Here is a 20,256-nt window from a genome sequence, read left to right as displayed (position 1 = left end):
ATAGAAGTTGTATTAGTACAATTATGAACTTTTAGGTTCCATGGAAATGTTGTATGTGAAAAGACTCATACACTTCATTCTACACTTGTCAGATCTAACTTTTCTTTATTTAAAATAACTCTTGAAATTTCTACTGGTTTTTCAAATAGAATTTTAGTGTTCGAAAACAAAGATAAATCAATATTATATAATACATAGATTTAAAAAATCAATGAGTACTTTCAAAATAATAAGATGAAAACTTTCCTTAACCTTCTAAAGCAACACATGCAACTGACACTACTCTAAGAATGCAGCTAATATATTTTTATCTACATTAGTTGCTAGACTTACAGTTTAGACATTCTTACTTTGAGATGTATATCCACTTTTAAGAATGACTAACTTCTTTCCTAACAGGAAATACTTACAACTCATGTGGAACATATAATTAAGACTGTATAGAAAATGAAACATAAGAAAATCAAATTTTGATAGTGTTTCCTCCCTTTTCTTTTAGGTGTTATGATCAAAGGTATCTGATCATAATTTACATTTGTATTTTTTAAGTTTTTAAATTAAAATAATTGCAAACATATTTATATAGCATTGAGCTAACCAGGTAAATAGCTTAAAATTCTCTAACAAAAGCAAAAAAAAAAACAAAAAACAAAATTACCCCTTGTATATCATAATTATTTAAAACCTCAAATGATAAATTAGGAAAGTATCTTGGTCTGTATTTTGAAGTCAGGTTATCAAAGCACAATCTCTCAGATTGATCACTGCAAGTAATGTAGTTTCATATTGGAACATAGTTGTTTCTCATTGCATCCCTTAAAGATGAAGTTATTATTTCAATTTTCAGGCTCAGAGAAATTATAATATCCATTCGAGGTTGTATGCTGTGTAAATTTAAGATTCAGAACACAAACCAAAATTCACTGGAGGGTAGATCATTAACAAAAGCATAACAACAATAAGGGAAATAGCATATTCCAGGGCAGCTACTACGTCTGCTTAATGAAATCAGGGGTTTTTGCACTGTAGTGGGTATAAGATTGGAAAGATTCAGTAGAGTCAAATTTTACGGGTCCTAAATACTGGCTCAGAATGTTAGGTTTTATTCGATAAGTAGTGAAAAGCACCTGGGAATTTTTTTTAAATGCGATGTGGTATGAGAAAGAATTAACCTGCAGCAAGAGAACGAAAAAAAAAATTACTGAGCATCCATTAGCACGGTTCAATATAATTCATTAAATATTATAAACAGCCAGAAAGATGGGTAGCAAGACAAGTGCTGGGTTTTGATTTATAAGGTAACTAAAAAACCTACAACTGTACCCTGAAAAAGCATAAGTTGGAGGGTAAAAATATGGTACAGTCAAAATTTATTATCTTACTAATAAGGCATAACAACATTGATGATCTAAACATCAGGGAGTATCCAATGTTTAAAAATAGCCTTACCTTAGATCAGGTGATTCGGCCCTCCCATATCGATCCTGCCACTTCCCAACGCTTGAATTGGCTTTTCTGGAGGCAGTACTTGTCTGAGACTGAGAAGAAGTGCTGTTTCTGGTGAGATAAATTTTCTATGTTTTTTCTTACATATTGTTGTCTCTGACCCCCCTTGTTCTGTTTTTTTTTTTTTCTTGACATGCTTTTTCTAAAGTCTTTTAGTATGTTCCTACAGTATCATTCTCAAGTCATATAAACTACTTGCTGTGGTACTAAGTATTTAAATATAGATGTGCTATCAACACTTTCTTAACTCTAGAATATTTTTAGAAATATTCTTCAACATAGTATGATGTCAATGCAGAAATGAGAAAAGAACTAAGGATTTACATCAGGTTACAATACATTAATCAAAAAATACATTTCTGTGCCTCTATGAATTCTTAATATTAATTTTTGCAATTTTACAAAATCTTACTAAAAATTTTGGTATTTCTTTCCCTATATTCTTCAACAATGGATATAAGTATTGTTAGTGCAACCAGTTAACAGCAACACTCTGACGTGTTTCATAAAAACCTATACTATTTTATAAAAAATCCCTTTCAAAATAACTCTTTCAAAGTAAAGTTCCCAAAAAAGTTAATTTTATCCCTGTTGACATACTTCATAAAAAGTTCAGATATTTGCAATATTGCCAATACTTTACAGAACTAATAAGATGCTCTTTCAAAGCAACAGGATATATATACATGTTTATGCATCTGCTTGTTTATGTAAAAAGAAACACAGGAAAAACAAACCAGAAACGAAATGAAATCTGTTCTGACAGGAATGAAAGAAACAGAGAAAGATGTGACAAGTTTCTATATACCTTTGGATACTCTTGCCTTTCGAACTGTTAGATGTTTTACATATGCAAAAAATAAATCAGTGAACATGGAAGGAAAAATAAATGCTAAAACTGCATACAAACAGACACAATAAACCAAATTATATATTTTAAATTCTTAATATAACAACTCTGTAGGAAACTTCTGAACCCAATATCTGAATTATATACCCTTAGCCTAAAAAGAGACAAAGAAAAAACTGTAAACAAATCCTAAACTACTGAATAGGTTTTCTTATAACAGTAAAAGTTCTGAATCTGTTATATGTGTATTTCAAGATTCTGGGAGCCACGTTCTCATTGTGGAAAAAAAAGGAGATGCAATATGGAATAGGGAAAGAGAAATAGGAATAAGAATCCTGTGATGTTCAAATGGAAGTAAAAGAAACATGATGATTTCATGACTAAAATGTATTTTAAAAAACACACATGGAAATTTCATCTTGAAAATGCTAATTCTTTCCTAGCTCTGAGTGCTGAAAAGGCCTGGAAATAAGGATGCCCTAGTATAAGGAGCACAGCTAGCACCCTGATCTTGTTTTTTAATTACCATTCCCCACTAAAAGGAATCAGAGTGCCTTTGAAAATGGCTGCTTCTAAGGAAGAAACAGGGAAACTACAAGATAAGCCTGGAACATCCTGGTAATGCCAAACTATAAAAACACCCTAAAAAAAAAAACATGATGGAGACATATCAAAGGTCACAGAGCAAGTTTGAAGAGGAACAATCTGATGTTCACATCAAAATGAATTACAGTATATATAAATCATACATACGGTTTAAACACCATGTATACAAATAAGCTACATTTGTAAGTCACACATACACACTTTCTCACACATAAAATAAGAATTTATGAGTCTAAGTGATAAGTGGCGGAGTGGGAAAGCTCATTTTTAAAGTAGAATGCCAACTAATAAATGTTAAGAGAAATAAGAGTTACATAATCACTATTTTGCAGCCATTACAGTAATAACTGACTAAAGAAAAAATTATCACTGGCACTAAAATCCCTAAAAAGTTTGAAGAGGAACAGGATATTTAGCCTTTCCACAAATTACTTATTAAATACAAAGGAAAAAATAGCAACTTTGCAGTGCAGAAACCCAAAGGACACCATCACAACTAAGGCATTAGAATTATCATTTCTAATAAAATAACATGACAAACTGACATCCTGTATCTCCAAGCCAATACACTGAGAAGGGTACATCATCACTTACATAGTATTCCTGCCCAAAAAGCAAAACCTGAATCTAATCATGAGAAAATATCAGGCAAAACCAAGAACAATTAACTCAACAACTAGATTGTACTCTTCTAAAATTCAATGTTAAGAAATACAAAGAAAAGCTAAGAAGCTGATCCAGATTTAAGAAAAACAAAAAGATAAAATAGTTAAATTTAACGCGTGACACTGGATTAAGTCCTAAATCCATGAAGAAAGAAAACATTGCCATAAAGGATATTGGGATAATTTGCAAAATTTACAGCCTGCAATTAGATGAAAGTACTGATTCACTATTAGATTTTCTGACTTTGATAACTCTGCCGTATGATTATCTAACAGAATGTCCTCGTTCTGAGGAAATACATGCTTAAGTACTTAAGGGTAAAGGGGCATGATGCCTACAATTAATATTCAAATGGCTCAGTAAGAAAAATGTTTTTGAGAAATTATAACGCAAATATGACAAAATGTTATTAACTGGAAAATCTGGATACAGTATATGGAAGTTATTTGTACTTTTTTTTGCAATTCTTTGTAAGTTTAAATTTTTTTCAAAATAAAACTTTATTTTTTTCAATGACAACAACAAATGAAGGAGGCATAATGGGGACTTTTGGGGGTAATAAAAACGTTCTATCAGTCTATATCCTGGTTTACAAAAGTATGTTTAGCTTGTAAAAATTTAACCAAGATGTACATTCCTGATATGCCACTTTTCTGTATGTATGTATTTCACAAAAAGTTAAGATGCTAACGTTTAAAGATTAAGCAAAGCATTCTGATATATTAAATATAAAATTTTACTTAACAGTGCCAATTTGATGGGTACTACAGAACGTTGGAAACCCAGCATTTCTATTGATAAAGTACGAAAAAATATTTTTAAAAGTTCTGTGCAAGCATATCAACACTTACATATACATTAATAAGGCAATCTAAGATTGTAAACAATGGAAATACAGTGCTTAGGTCAGTAGCACAGCTCATTAGTCTTAAACATCTACTGTGCACCCTGTATTATATCTTTATGAATAACATTTACTGTTTTCTCCCTAAGGTCAATACAATTTTACTTTCAAAGATGTCTATCCAATCTCCATAAATATAACGAATAAAACAAAAAAAATACTTTTATGGGAAATATTTCACAATGACTGCAAAGTATCCTTTTTATCAAATGGAATCCAGAAAACAAACTTTCCTAATGAGTTGTGGCTACTGTCCTTTACGTACGAAAGTGACAGTATTGACAACTTAGGTAACTTTTATAGGTAGCAGTGGTAATTATTCATTTTTCGTTTTTTAGTAGTGATAGCCCTGCTAATTTTTCCATCCTTTCTTTACCTCCTTTCAGCTGTCCCTTACCTATATTTGCCCTCCATCTCTTCTTAGCCAATGGCCCATCATTACAATAACTCCCTCAAGTAAATGCTCATGTACCTGTCCCCTTCATCCCTTTTTTATAATTCCCTGATACATCAACCTCTGTTAAATCCAACTCTAGCTAACCTTCATAAACACTCATATACCTAACAAGAGTCAGAGAAACACCCAAAAAGCAGCGACAAGACTGTCACACTTTAAACCCATGGCCATTAATTTCAAGAAAAGTTGAAAATATACAGCAGCCCCCCCCACCTTATTCTTGGGGGATACATTCTAAGACCCTCAGTGGAGGATATATCCTAAGGCCTCCAGTGGATGCCTGAAACTGAGGATGGTACTGAACCCAATATGTACAATGATTTTTTCTATATATACATGCCTATAAAATTTAATTTATAATTAAACACAGTAAGAAATTAACAATAATAAAAGAGAACAATTAGGTGAGTGCAAAAGTAATTGCGGTTTTTGCACTTTTGGGATCTGCAGTTTGATACTGGAATACATTCTTAAACAAATAGTTATGTTACACATCATGTTAATGGGCATTTCTCGTTTTATTTCTTTATTTTTTCTGCTAATGACTTATTACTTGCTGTTTATTTTATGTTTATTTTAGACTATGGAAATGATGTTAGACAAAAAGCAAATTCGAGCAATTTTCTTATTCAAGTTCAAAATGGGTCATAAAGCAGCAGAGACAACTCGCAACATCAACAACACATTTGGCCCAGGAATTGCTAATGAGCATACAGTGCAGTGGTAGTTCCAGAAGTTTTACAAAGGAAACGAGAACCTTGGCTGGTCATTGGAAGTTGACAATGACCAACTAAGAGCAATCATCGAAGTTGATCCTCTTACAACTACACGAGAAGCTGTCGAAGAACTCAACGACCATTCTACAGTTGTTAGGCATTTGAAGCAAATCAGAAAGGTGAAAAAGCTCAGTTAAGTGGGTGCCTCATAAGCTGACCGAAAATCAAAAAAATCATCCTCATGAAGTGTTGTCTTCTCTTACTCTATGCAACAATGAACCATTCCTCTATCTGACTGTGATGTGCGATGAAAAGTGGATTTTAAGGATGGAGCCAAGGTGGCCAAATAGGAACAACTCCGGTCTACAGCTCCCAGCGTGAGCGACGCAGAAGACGGGTGATTTCTGCATTTCCATCTGAGGTACCGGGTTCATCTCACTAGGGAGTGCCAGACAGTGGGCGCAGGACAGTGGGTGCAGCGCACCATGGGCGAGCCAAAGCAGGGCAAGGCATTGCCTCACTCAGGAAGCGCAAGGGGTCAGGGAGTTCCCTTTCCTAGTCAAAGAAAGGGGTGACAGACAGCACCTGGAAAATTGGGTCACTCCCACCCTAATACTGCGCTTTTCCAATGGGCTTAAAAAACGGCGCACCAGGAGATTATATCCTGCACCTGGGTCGGAGGGTCCTACGCCCACGGAGTCTCGCAGATTGCTAGCACAGCAGTCTGAGATCAAACTGCCAGGTGGCAGCGAGGCTGGGGGAGGGGCGCCCGCCATTGCCCAGGCTTCCTTAAGTAAACAAAGCAGCCAGGAAACTCCAACTGGGTGGAGCCCACCACAGCTCAAGGAAGCCTGCCTGCCTCTGTAGGCTCCACTACTGGGGGCAGGGCACAGACAAAAAGACAGAAGTAATCTCTGCAGACTTAAATGTCCCTGTCTGCTTTGAAGAGAGCAGTGGTTCTCCCAGCACGCAGCTGGAGATCTGAGAACGGGCAGACTGCCTCCTCAAGTGGGTCCCTGACCCTTGACCCCCGAGCAGTCTAAGTGGGAGACACCCCCCAGTAGGGGCAGACTGACACCTCACATGGCCAGGTACTCCTCTGAGGCAAAACGTCCAGAGGAACGATCAGACAGCAGCATTCGCGGTTCACGAAAATCCGCTGTTCTGCAGCCACCGCTGCTGGTATCCAGGCAAACAGGATCTGGAGTAGACCTCCAGCAAACTCCAACAGACCTGCAGCTGAGGGTCCTGTCTGTTAGAAGGAAAACTAACAAACAGAAAGGACACCCACACCAAAAACCCATCTGTACATCACCATCATCAAAGACCAAAAGTAGATAAAACCACAAAGATGGGGAAAAAACAGAGCAGAAAAACTCGAAACTCTAAAAAGCAGAGTGCCTCTCCTCCTCCAAAGGAACGCAGTTCCTCACAAGCAACGGAACAAAGCTGGACAGAGAATGCCTTTGACGAGTTGAGAGAAGAAAGCTTCAGACGATCAAACTACTCCAAGCTACGGGAGGAAATTCAAACCAAAGGCAAAGAAGTTAAAAACTTTGAAAAAAATTTAGAAGAATGTATAACTAGAATAACCAATACAGAGAAGTGCTTAAAGGAGCTGACAGAGCTGAAAACCAAGGCTTGAGAACTACGTGAAGAATGCAGAAGCCTCAGGAGCCGAGGTGATCAACTGAAAGAAAGGGTATCAGTGATGCAAGATCAAATGAATGAAATGAAGTGAGAAGGGAAGTTTAGAGAAAAAAGAATAAAAAGAAACGAACAAAGCCTCCAAGAAATATGGGACTATGTGAAAAGACCAAATCTACATCTGATTGGTGTACCTGAAAGTGACGGGGAGAATGGAACCAAGTTGCAAAATACTCTGCAGGATATTATCCAGGAGAACTTCCCCAATCTAGCAAGGCAGGCCAACATTCAAATTGAGGAAATACAGAGAACGCCACAAAGATACTCCTTGAGAAGAGCAACTCCAAGACACATAATCGTCAGATTCACCAAAGATGAAATGAAGGAAAAAATGTTCAGGGCAGCCAGAGAGAAAGGTCGGGTTACCCACAAAGTGAAGCCCATTAGACTAACAGCAGATCTCTCCGCAGAAACTCTACAAGCCAGAAGAGAGTGGGGGCCAATATTCAACATTCTTAAAGGAAAGAATTTTCAACCCAGAATTTCATGTCCAGCCAAATTAAGCTTCATAAGAGATGGAGAAATAAAATATTTTACAGACAAGCAAATGCTGAGAGATTTTGTCACCACCAGGCCTGCCCTAAAAGAGCTCCTGAAGGAAGCACTAAACTTGGAAAGGAACAACCAGTACCAGCCACTGCAAAATCATGCCAAACTGTAAAAACCATCGAGGATAGGAAGAAACTGCATCAACTAACGAGCAAAATAACCAGCTAACATCATAATGACAGGATCAAATTCATACATAACAATGTTAGCTTTAAATGTAAATGAACTAAATGCTCCAATTAAAAGACACAGACTGGCAAATTGGATAAAGAGTCAAGACCCATCAGTGTGCTGTATTCAGGAAACACATCTCACATGCAGAGACACACATAGACTCAAAATAAAAGGATGGAGGAAGATCTACCAAGCAAATGCAAAACAAAAAAAGGCAGGGGTTGCAGTCCTAGTCTCTGATAAAACAGACTTTAAACCAACAAAGATCAAAAGAGACAAAGAAGGCCATTACATAATGCTAAAGGGATCAATTCAACAAGAAGAGCTAACTATCCTAAATATATATGCACCCAGAATCATAAAGCAAGTCCTGAGTGACCTACAAAGAGACTTAGACTCCCATACAATAAAAATGGGAGACTTAACACCCCACTGTCAACATTAGACAGACCAACGAGACAGAAAGTTAACAAGGATACCCAGGACTTGAACTCAGCTCTGCACCAAGCAGACCTAATAGACATCTACAGAACTCTCCACCCCAAATCAACAGAATATACATTTTTTTCAGCACCACACCACACCTATTCCAAAACTGACCACATAGATGGAAGTAAAGCTCTCCTCAGTAAATGTAAAAGAACAGAAATTATAACAAACTGTCTCTCAGACCACAGTGCAATCAAACTAGAACTCAGGATTAAGAAACTCACTCAGAACCGCTCAACTACATGGAAACTGAACAACCTGCTCCTGAATGACTACTGGGTAAATAATGAAATGAAAGCAGAAATAAAGATGTTCTTTGAAACCAACGAGAACAAAGACACAACATACCAGAATCTCTGGGACACATTCAAAGCAGTGTGTAGACGGAAATTTATAGCACTGAATGCCCACAAGAGAAAGAAGGAAAGATCTAAAATTGACACCCTAACATCACAATTAAAAGAACTAGAGAAGCAAGAGCAAACACATTCAAAAACTAGCAGAAGGCAAGAAATAACTAAGATCAGAGCAGAACTGAAGAAAATAGAGACACAAAAAACCCTTCAAAAAATCAATGAATCCAGCAGCTGGTTTTTTGAAAAGATCAACAAAATTGATAGACTGCTAGCAAGACTAATAAAGAAGAAAAGAGAAAAGAATCAAATACACACAATAAAAAATGACAAAGGGGATATCACCACCGATCCCACAGAAATACAAATTACCATGAGAGAATACTACAAACACTTCTACGCAAATAAACTAGAAAATCTAGAAGACATGGATAAATTCCTCGACACATACACCCTCCCAAGACTAAACCAGGAAGAAGTTGAATCCCTGAATAGACCAATAATAGGCTCTGAAATTGTGGCAATAATCAATAGCTTACCAACCAAAAAGAGTCCAGGACCAGATGGATTCACAGCCGAATTCTACCAGAGGTACAAGGAGGAACTGGTACCATTCCTTCTGAAACTATTCCAATCAATAGAAAAAGAGGGAATCCTCCCTAACTCATTTTGTGAGGCCAGCATCATCCTGATACCAAAGCCGGGTAGAGAAACAACCAAAAAAGAGAATTTTAGACCAATATCCCTGATGAACATTGACGCAAAAATCCTCAGTAACATACTGGCAAAACAAATCCAGCAGCACATCAAAAAGCTTATCCACCATGATCAAGTGGGCTTCATCCCTGGGATGCAAGGCTGGTTCAATATACGAAAATCAATAAATGTAATTCAGCATATAAACAGAACCAAAGACAAAAACCACGATTATCTCAATAGATGCAGAAAAGGCCTTTGACAAAATTCAACAACCCTTCATGCTAAAAACTCTCAATAAATTAGGTATGTAAATAGGACGTATCTCAAAATAATAAGAGCTATCTATAACAAACCCACAGCCAATATCAAACTGAATGGGCAAAAACTGGAAGCATTCCCTTTGAAAACTGGCACAAGACAGGGATGCCCTCTCTCACCACTCCTATTCAACATAGTGTTGGAAGTTCTGGCCAGGGCAATTAGGCAGGAGAAGGAAATAAAGGGTATTCAATTAGGAAAAGAGGAAGTCAAATTGTCCCTGTTTGCAGATGACGTGATTGTATATCTAGAACACCCCATTGTCTCAGCCCAAAATCTCCTTAAGTTGATAAGCAACTTCAGCAAAGTCTCAGGATACAAAATCAATGTGCAAAAATCACAAGCATTCTTATACACCAATAACAGACAAACAGAGAGCCAAATCATGAGTGAACTCCCATTCACAATTGCTACAAAGAGAATAAAATACCTAGGAATCCAACTTACAAGGGATGTGAAGGACCTCTTCAAGGAGAACTACAAACCACTGCTCAAGGAAATAAAAGAGGACACAAACAAATGGAAGAACATTCCATGCTCATGGGTAGGAAGAATCAATATCGTGAAAATGGCCATACTGCCCAAGGTAATTTATAGATTCAATGCCATCCCCATCAAGCTACCAATGACTTTCTTCACAGAATTGGAAAAAACTACTTTAAAGTTCATATGGAACCAAAAAAGAGCCCGCATCGCCAAGGCAATCCTAAGCCAAAAGAACAAACTGGAGGCATCAAGCTACCTGACTTCAAACTATACTACAAGGCTACAGTAACCAAAACAGCATGGTACTGGTACCAAAACAGAGATATAGACCATTGGAACAGAACAGAGCCCTCAGAAATAATGCCGCATGTCTACAACTATCTGATCTTTGACAAACCTGAGAAAAACAAGCAATGGGGAAAGGATTCCCTATTTAATAAATGGTGCTGGGAAAACTGGCTAGCCATATGTAGAGAGCTGAAACTGGATCCCTTCCTTACACCTTATACAAAAATTAATTCAAGATGGATTAAAGACTTAAATGTTAGACCTAAAACCATAAAAACCCTAGAAGAAAACCTAGGCATTACCATTCAGGACACAGGCATGGGCAAGGACTTCATGTCTAAAACACCAAAAGCAATGGCAACAAAAGCCAAAACTGACAAATGGGATCTCATTAAACTAAAGAGCTTCTGCACAGCAAAAGAAACTACCATCAGAGTGAACAGGCAACCTACAAAATGGGAGAAAATTTTCGCAACCTACTCATCTGACAAAGGGCTAATATCCAGAATCTACAATGAACTCAAACAAATTTACAAGAAAAAAACAACCCCATCAAAAAGTGGGTGAAGGACATGAACAGACACTTCTCAAAAGAAGACATTTATGCAGCCAAAAAACACATGAAAAAATGCTCACCATCACTGGCCATCAGAGAAATGCAAATCAAAACCACAATGAGATAGCATCTCACACCAGTTAGAATGGCGATCATTAAAAAGTCAGGAAACAACACGTGCTGGAGAGGATGTGGAGAAATAGGAACACTTTTACACTGTTGGTGGGACTGTAAAGTAGTTCAACCATTGTGGAAGTCAGTGTGGCGATTCCTCAGGGATCTATAACTAGAAATACCATTTGACCCAGCCATCCCATTACTGGGTATATACGCAAAGGACTCTAAATCATGCTGCTATAAAGACACATGCACACGTATGTCTATTGCAGCATTATTCACAATAGCAAAGACTTGGAACCAACCCAAATGTCCAACAATGACAGACTGGATTAAGAAAATGTGGCACATATACACCATGGAATACTATGCAGCCATAAAAAAATGATGAGTTCATGTCCTTTGCAGGGACATGGATGAAACTGGAAATCATCATTCTCAGTAAACTATCACAAGAACAAAAAACCAAACACCGCATATTCTCACTCATAGGTGGGAATTGAACAATGAGAACACATGGACACAGGAAGGGGAACATCACACTCTGGGGACTGTTGTGGGGTGGGGGGAGGGGGGAGGGATAGCATTAGGAGATATACCTAATTCTAAATGACGAGTTAGTGGGTGCAGCACACCAGCATGGCACATGTATACATATGTAACTAAACTGCACATTGTGCACATGTACCCTAAAACTTAAAGTATAATAAAAAAAAAAAAGTGCATTTTATACGATGACTGGAGATGACCAGCTCAGTGGCTGGAGAGAGAAGCAGCTCCAAAGCACTTCCCAAAGCCAAACTTGCACCAGAAAAAGATCATGGTCACTGTTTGGTGGTCTGCTGCTGGTCTAATCCACTACGGCTTTCTGAATACCAGCACAACCACTTCATCTAAGAAGTATGCTCAGCAAATCGATGAGATGCACCAAAAACTGCAATGCCTGCAGCCGGCATTGGGCAACAGAACGAGCCCAATACTCCTCCACAACAATGCCCAACCGCATGTTGCACAACCAATGCTTCAAAAGTTGAATGAATTGGACAACAAAGTTTTGCCTCATCCGCCATATTCATCTGATCTCCTGCCTCCCAACTACCACTTTTTCAAGCATCTTAAGAACTTTTTGCAGGGAAAACACTTCCACAATCAGCAGGATACAGAAAATGCTTTCCAAGAGTTTGTCAAATCCGAAGCACGGATTTTTACACTACAGGAATAAAGAAACTTATTTCTCATTGGCAAAAAATGTGATTGTAATGGTTTCTATTTTGATTAATAAAGATGTGTTTGAGCCTAGTTATGATTTAAATTTCACAGTCCAAAACCGCAATTACTTTTACACCAATCTAAAAACAATCTAATATAATAAAAGTTGTATGAATGTGGTCTCTCTCAAAATACCTTATTGTAACATACTACAGGTAATTGAAACCAAGGAAAGCAAAACCTAGATAAGAAAGTAGTACTGTACAGTTTCTCTCCCTGTGTCATCAATTTTTTACTTTAACTCATTCCCATCAGCATATAAAAATACTGTAATTCCTCTCATCTTGAAAAAAAAGGTTTCTCTTGACCCCACACTTCACTCCAGCTGCCCAGCTACTCCTTTCACCTAGTTTATTCACAGAACTCCAAAAAACTATTTCAGACCTCTTTTCTTCTCAAACACTCAATGCTACCTTCCAATGGCCTCTTATTTCCAACAGCCTCACTCTCACCAGATAAGTGTGCATATTATTTTGCCGGGAAAAATGAAAGCAATCAGAAGAGAACTTTCAATTATTCCCATTCCATTATCCACCTACCCATCTGCACTGGTGCCCTGTATCCTGCCTTCGTTACTGTTCTTATGAATGAACGGTCCATGCTTCTACTTAAGGGCAACTTCTCTACTTCATATTACATCTCATCCCTTTGGCTTTATTAAACGACATTCCTCTACAACTTCCCTGTCTTACACCACCAATTTCTCCTTTAATAACTCATTCCCATAAATATACAAAATGCTGTAATTATTATTATTTTTTAGACAGTGTCTCACTCTGTCGCCAAGGCTGGAGTGCAGTGGTGTGATCTTGGCTCACTGCAACCTCTACCTCCTGGGTTCAAGTGACTCTCCCGCCTCAGCCTCCCGAGTAGCTTGAACTACAGGTTTGCTTCGCAATGCCCAGCTAATTTTTGTATTTTTAGTTGAGATGGGGTTTTGCCATGTTGGCAAGGCTGGTCTCAAACTCCTGCCCTCAACAGATCTGCCCATCTCAGCCTCCCAAAGTGCTCAGATTACAGGCATGAGCTACAGTGCCCAGCCAAAATGCTGTTTTTTTCTTTGTTTTGAAAAAAAACTTCTCCTGACCCCACATTTCCCTCCAGATACTGTCACATTTCTCTGGCCCCCACAGAAAGAAAATAGTCTTCCAAAAAGTGCCCATATTTTCTCTTTCTAATTCTTTTCCTCCCACTCTTTCTTTAATCCATTCCAAAGTCTTTTATCTTCATTTTATACAAATGAAAATGATCCTGGTCAGGATCACCAATGACCATCAATAAAATCCAATGGTCATTCTTAGTCTTCATTTTCTTGACCAATCAATTGGATTTAGTATTTGATAGCTGACATTTCTCCTTGAAACACATCATTTTCAAGACATACAGTGGGTTTTTTTCCTACTTCATTCATCATTCCTCCTTATTAATGGTCTCCTCTTACTAGTTAATCCTTATTTTCCTGACATACAAGGGAGTGCCCCAAGGCTGTCTCTTACCACTTCTCTATCAATACTTACCTCTTTTATGGTCTAATTCCATTTTGTAGTTTCATTTAAGTAATATTAAACACTGATTATCCTAAATTCATTATCTCCAGCCCATACTCTTCCCTTCTACTCCAGATCCATATAGCCAACTTCCTACTCAAATTTCCCACTTGCACGTCCAATAGGCATCTCATTTTTATTATATTCTACACTGAACTCTTGGTCTTCTTCCTCCAATAACCACTCCTCCTTATGGTCTTTTCCATCTCTGTAAATGACAAAACCATCATTCTGGTTCAGTTGATCAGAACAAAAACCTTGGATTCATCCTTAACTGCTTTTTCCTCTACAATCTACATCCAATCCATCAAGATAGGCTATTGGCTTACCTTCTGAAATATAACTGGTATCTGACTACTTCTCAACATCTCCACACCATTATCTTGGTCCAAGTTACCATTATCTCTTGCCTAGATAATTGCTGCAACCTCCTAACTGGCCTCCCTGTTTTCACCCACCCTAAGTAACTCTGTAGTCTGTTTTTAGTAAAGCGACTAAATCGAAACTTTACAAACCTAAATCAGATTATTTCATTGCTCTGCTCAAAATCCGCCAGTGAGTCCCCATTTATTTAATTTATAGGAAAAGCCAAAGCCTTTATAATGGCACACAGCCCTTACATAATCTGGCCCAAATTTTGAAAGGCCAATCAACAATAAAAAAACAAAAGGCAAAGTACAGAAAAACTATTGATTTTTAAATAGTTTAAGTATAATAGCAAACATCTAGAGTATTTTCTAGGTACCAGCACTGTTCTAAAACACTTTACATAAATGAATCCACTGAATATAGATAACTACACTGTGAGGGAAGTACTATTACTACATTTTACAGATTAAGAAATCAAGGCATAAGATTAGAGAATTTGCCCAACGACAGCACAGCTAGTAAGCCGCAGAGCCAGCATCTGAACTCCAGAAATCTGACTCCAGAGTCCAAGCTGTTACCATCACTCTATACTGCAGAATACCATAAACTCAATGAATGAAAGTTAACCTCTTAAAAAATGTATAAGCCAAAAGAATACTACATATTACAATATTATATATTACTACATATTTAAAGCTTAGCTGTCATAAATTCTTTAAAACCAAACATTTTGAGATTATATTTAGCTTAAATAATCACATTTCATTATGTCTATGACAATTCACAAAAATCCTGGATCACTTTATGCCATTTAATTTTGGCTGAAGGCTTCAAGAATCGTTATCTTAGAGCTAGACTAGATGCCACTATAAAGTCTCTTCCTGCATTAGATTATTCTAAAATGTCTCTTATAACAATACAAAACTGTAGAATAACAAAAACAGAAAACTATATAAAATAAATTTAAACCAGTAACACAAAAGGTAAGTGATCTGGCCGAGAACTAGTAATAGTTGGGTTATTAATTTGTTTCAGGCCCAGACTTTAGTCATCTTATCTAGTCCAAGATTAAACTACTGACCTCAAACTTCGCTAGTCTTAGCCTACTATCCTTTACCAGTTTCCTGGTAATGGCATAATAGGGTAACCATTTGTCACATTTAAGTAAAAAAGACATTTTCTAGCATATTTGCCTCTTACATCTGATACCTTCGGGAACATATGAGGTATTATCATATAAAATCAAACAACAACAACAAATGGTTCCAATTTTAAAGATTTTCCAAGCTGAAATTTCAATAGCCTCTTTCACTACAATTAGCAAAAGACCTTCAGGCCAATAGATCTAGACTTAGAAGTCCAATAATTCTTTATGTAAGAATAGGGAGCACAGGAAACAGCAAATACTACTGTTACCACCTCTCTTGAATGTAAGACTGTCTCTTTATTCACCTCTCTTGAATATAAGATTGTCTCTTTATTCATACACAAAACTATATACCGCACTTCACTTCTTGCTTACCCTAGGCTTTTTAGATGGAAAAACATCAAGAAGTTTCTTGTGAAGAATTCATTTTGTACTAAACCAAAGTAAAATGTTCCAGTTTTTTGGTAAAACATTCAGAGCTTTTATACTTAATATAGCACAAATACAATGTAAAGATACCAATGTCGTACAGTAATTGAGTTATAACTATGTAACTAACCTGCTCGGTGGAAGCCCAGTCTTGAACAAAGAAGGAGGAGAAGTAAACTCAGCTTTTGTAGATGGAAGGGCAGTTTCTTTCTCTGAGTTTCCAGTTCTTCCCTGCTGTACCTTAAAAAAAAAAGGTTATTAGCTTGTTGAATTTAACAGAACACTCAAACATAATGGACTTTAGATGTTAAAATAAGTTTACAACATTTAATTTGAAGTTAAACACTAAGAATGTTCCTTTGCTGAATATTTATTAAAATTAGCCTATTTTAGAACAGTATTAGGTGAAAGGCACCAAAGAGAGTATGGGATCAAAATGTTCCAACTATCAAAAAGTTCACATTAATAACACTTAGAAGCCGAATAAACTGTTAATTCTTTGGCACTTTCATAAATTCCTGCAGATCACTACAAATAGGTCCCAGATACTTGGTTATGACTTCATGTTTCGAATTCAAGAAAGACCTTGAAGAATTTTCCCGTTCTGTGTTCACCACCCTTATTCTAAGAAAACAATAGGTGACCATTTTAGCCATTCTGACCATTTTCTATTCAGACTGTGATTTCCTGTAACACAAATGTGAATAATCTGCTACTGTACATCCATACAATTTCTCCCATTTTCCCATCACCATTAAAAGTACCATCATCCTGACAGTTCAGTAGGCTTAAAAGCTTGAAGTTAATCATCTGTCTTAATACCTCTTCTCACTCTGTCACCCAGGCTGGAGTACAGTCGTGCAATCACGGCTCACTGAAGCCTCCACCTCCTGGGTTAAAGTGATTCTCTTGCCTCACAGCCCCCCGAGTAGCTGGGATTACAGGTGTGCACCACCATGCCTGGCTAAGTTTTGTATTTTTAGTAAAGACAGGATTTCACCATGTTGCCCAGGCTGGTCTCAAACTCCCGTCCCAAGTGATCTGCCCACCTCAGCCTCCCAAAGTGCTGGAATTACAGGTGTGAGCCACCAGGCCCAGCCTTCTCCCTCTTAATATTAATTTTAAAACCATCTATCTACTTACTCCATAATTTCTCCAAGATTTGCCTAACCTTTCTGCTCTTATTAGATCCTTTGATTGTAGCCCAGTCACATTCCTCTAGTCTGTTGAAATGACTTCTTTATGCTCTTCTGCTTTTATACTCACCTTTTTATCTTAAAATTATCATCAAACTATTCAATTTAAACAAATTCAAGTTTCCTTACACTTAAATAATATCACACCATATTTTATGTTCTACTTAAATTCTATTTAAATTCCCTGCTCCATTTAAATTCAGCATCACTCTCCTTTCCCATGAGGCAAAGGCCAAGAGAATCTCAAGACATTTTGACTGATATATTTGAACCACCAATTCAATTCCAAAATCATCTACCTCCCAACTAATCATTATGTGAAGAAAAGAAACTCTTTTACACTTGAGCCATTATAGTCAGATAGCTCTCTTATTAATAGTGTCCAACCCAATCTCTAATTGATACTCTCATATAATGAGGATCTTACATTTAGTTTATTTGAAAATGAGTTCTACCACTTAAAAAAATTTTTAAATGCCCTGATTCTAATGAGATGATGAGAATCGGCACTAAGGCAATGGGAACAGAAAGAAATGGACTTGACAGATACCTGACAGGTAAAACTGACAGGATCTGGTGAGAGAATGTAAACATCATTTATTGAATATCTATTATGTACCAGAAGCTGATAGAAACACAACAGGATCCTGGACCTTAGGAAAAAACAAACACACCAACAATCAGAGCAATATAATAAATATTATGAAAAAAATCTAAAGGATAAAAGATGTTATAATAACACAAAAAGAAACGCATTGTTCTGCCTGGGGATGTCAAGGAATATTCAGAGTTGACACTATTGTCCGAATTGCTCCCCTGACCACCAGTAATTTCTATGTAACTTCTTTCATGTCTAACAGACATCTCAAAGTTACCATGGCCAAAACAAAACTACTAATTTCCCCTAATCTGATCCTCTACAAGTCTTCCCCATATAAATAAATGGCACCATCATCTACTGAGCTGCTCAAGGAAAAAAAGAACCATAGAAATTATCTAATACATATGAACACCCAATATGTCAACTTTACAATATATGCCAAATTCCAATCTGCGATCAGTAACCCTCCTGGAAAACACAGCTGGCAGTACTCTGAGGTTTGTCATTTGTCACACAGATATTCCAGACTATTTACAGATTGTTTGGTTTACACTGAGAGGTTATCACTTATGTGTGGCAGAGAAATGAGATTTCAACAATTCCTTTTTGCATTTTTTATTTTTATTATGAGCCTTTTTATCAACAGACAGAGACTACCTAATTTAGCCATGAGAAGAAAACAGCACAGACATCCTGCCTTCAGAGAAGATGCATGCCACTCCATTCATGAGTACCATTCTCCTGAGAGGGGATAAGAATAAAAACGGTGTTTTTGGACCACTTGGATTCAAGCTCTAGCCACACAGCTCACTCTCTGGTGATCACTGATCTCTCTAGCCAATTTTACTGAGTCTACCAGAAGAGGAATGAAGGAAAGCTACTCAACCACCCAAAAGAATCTCATTATGGCAATAGTGTGATTGCTTATAAGTTCCCATACAAAAAGGAATCCTTTGAAAGCATCTGGGATGATGTATTAGTGTCATCGGATTTTCTTCTTCCTGGTTTCTCTTTACAGGGAAAACAACATGAATTCAAAAGGATTCCAGTCTGAAGCACAATCACTTGCTTCAACAAAAATATCTCATCTTTTTCTGCACATAAACATTCTTTCATCGGTTAAAAAGAAAAATAACTTTGAATGTCTTAGAACTCTCTAGCAGTAAAAACTGCAGAGTTCAAAATTTTCCTTTCATACTCCATAATTCTCCAAAAGTATTAAGTCTGTGTATGCTTCAATAATTTTGTTAAAAAATGCTCAATCTGAAATCAACTGCATTGACCACTTGGCTTTGCACAACAGGGAGAAAATAAATGGTTCACTGGTTATTTATATAGAGAGACTAAGAAAGCCTATTAATTGCCACTAATTTTATGACAGGTTTTAATGTTTATGAAAGCATGATTTTTTAATTTTATGAGCACTGTCCATTTGAGGTTGTAAAAGAAAGCATAAGATTCTAATTGTAGGCTGGGCGTGGTGGCTCAAGCCTGTAATCCCAGCGCTTTGGGAGGCCGAGGTGGGTGGATCACGAGGTCAGGAGTTCGAGACCAGCCTGGACAACATGGTGAAACCCCATCTCTACTAAAACTAAAAAAATTAGCCAGGTGTGGTGGCAGGCGCCTGTAATCCCAGCTACTCGGGAGGCTGAGGCAAGAGAATTGCTTGAACCCGGGAGGTGGAGGTTTCAGTGAGCCAAGATCGCGCCACTGAACTCTATCTAGCCTGGGTGACAGAGCAAGACTCCATCTTGGGAAAAAAAAAGATTCTAATTGTAGTTCATTTTATCTCAACATAGAAACATTTGCTTTTGAATCTTTTTCTCACCATGTAATTGTAATTATAAAAAGCCAATGTTTTATTTCCTTTGAAGTTCTGTTACATCCATGATTGCTTTGTATAGATAATTCCTTTAAAAGGCCTACTTAAAGTTAACATCTAAAATACAGTTGTGGCCAGGTGCAGTGGCTCACGCCTGTAATCCCAACACTTCAGGAGGCCGAGGCGGGTGGATCACCTGAGGTCAGAAGTTAGAGACCAGCCTGGCCAACATGGCAAAACCCTGTCTCTACTAAAAATACAAAAAACATACAGATGTGGTGGTATACACCTGTAATCCCAGCTACTCGGGCGGCTGAGGCAGGAGAATCACTTGAACCCAGGAGGTAGAGGTTGCAGTGAGCCAAGATCACACCATTGCACTCCAGCATGGGCAACAAGAGTGAAATTCTGTCTCAAGAAAAAAAAAAAAATCAT

At 37.3% G+C, this 20,256-nt stretch overlaps 1 protein-coding gene across 60 annotated transcripts in view; it reads right to left on the bottom strand.

The window, feature by feature from the left end:
• Positions 1-20,256, bottom strand: part of FIP1L1 (factor interacting with PAPOLA and CPSF1) — an 83,222-nt gene that overhangs the window by 44,691 nt on the left and 18,275 nt on the right. For 29 of the 60 annotated variants that reach the window (NR_164847.1, NM_001376744.1, NM_001376745.1 and 26 more), the window contains 2 exons: positions 16,333-16,442; positions 1,450-1,557 (listed from right to left, as the gene is read on the bottom strand). Coding sequence is in view for 57 of the 60 variants with exons in the window: in NM_001376744.1 (NP_001363673.1) it covers positions 1,450-1,557; positions 16,333-16,442 (218 nt within the window). In the remaining 3 variants the exon portion in view is untranslated. Of the gene's footprint in view, positions 1-1,449; positions 1,558-16,332; positions 16,443-20,110; positions 20,230-20,256 lie in introns of all 60 variants that reach the window. The other 31 variants (XM_047416211.1, NM_001376759.1, XM_047416212.1 and 28 more) reach the window with 5 other exon arrangements.

Source organism: Homo sapiens, chromosome 4, assembly GCF_000001405.40.
Source record: "Homo sapiens chromosome 4, GRCh38.p14 Primary Assembly".
Classification (NCBI taxonomy): domain Eukaryota; kingdom Metazoa; phylum Chordata; class Mammalia; order Primates; family Hominidae; genus Homo; species Homo sapiens.
Note: the sequence above shows the minus strand (reverse complement) of the source record. Positions and strands in the feature narration are given on the sequence as shown.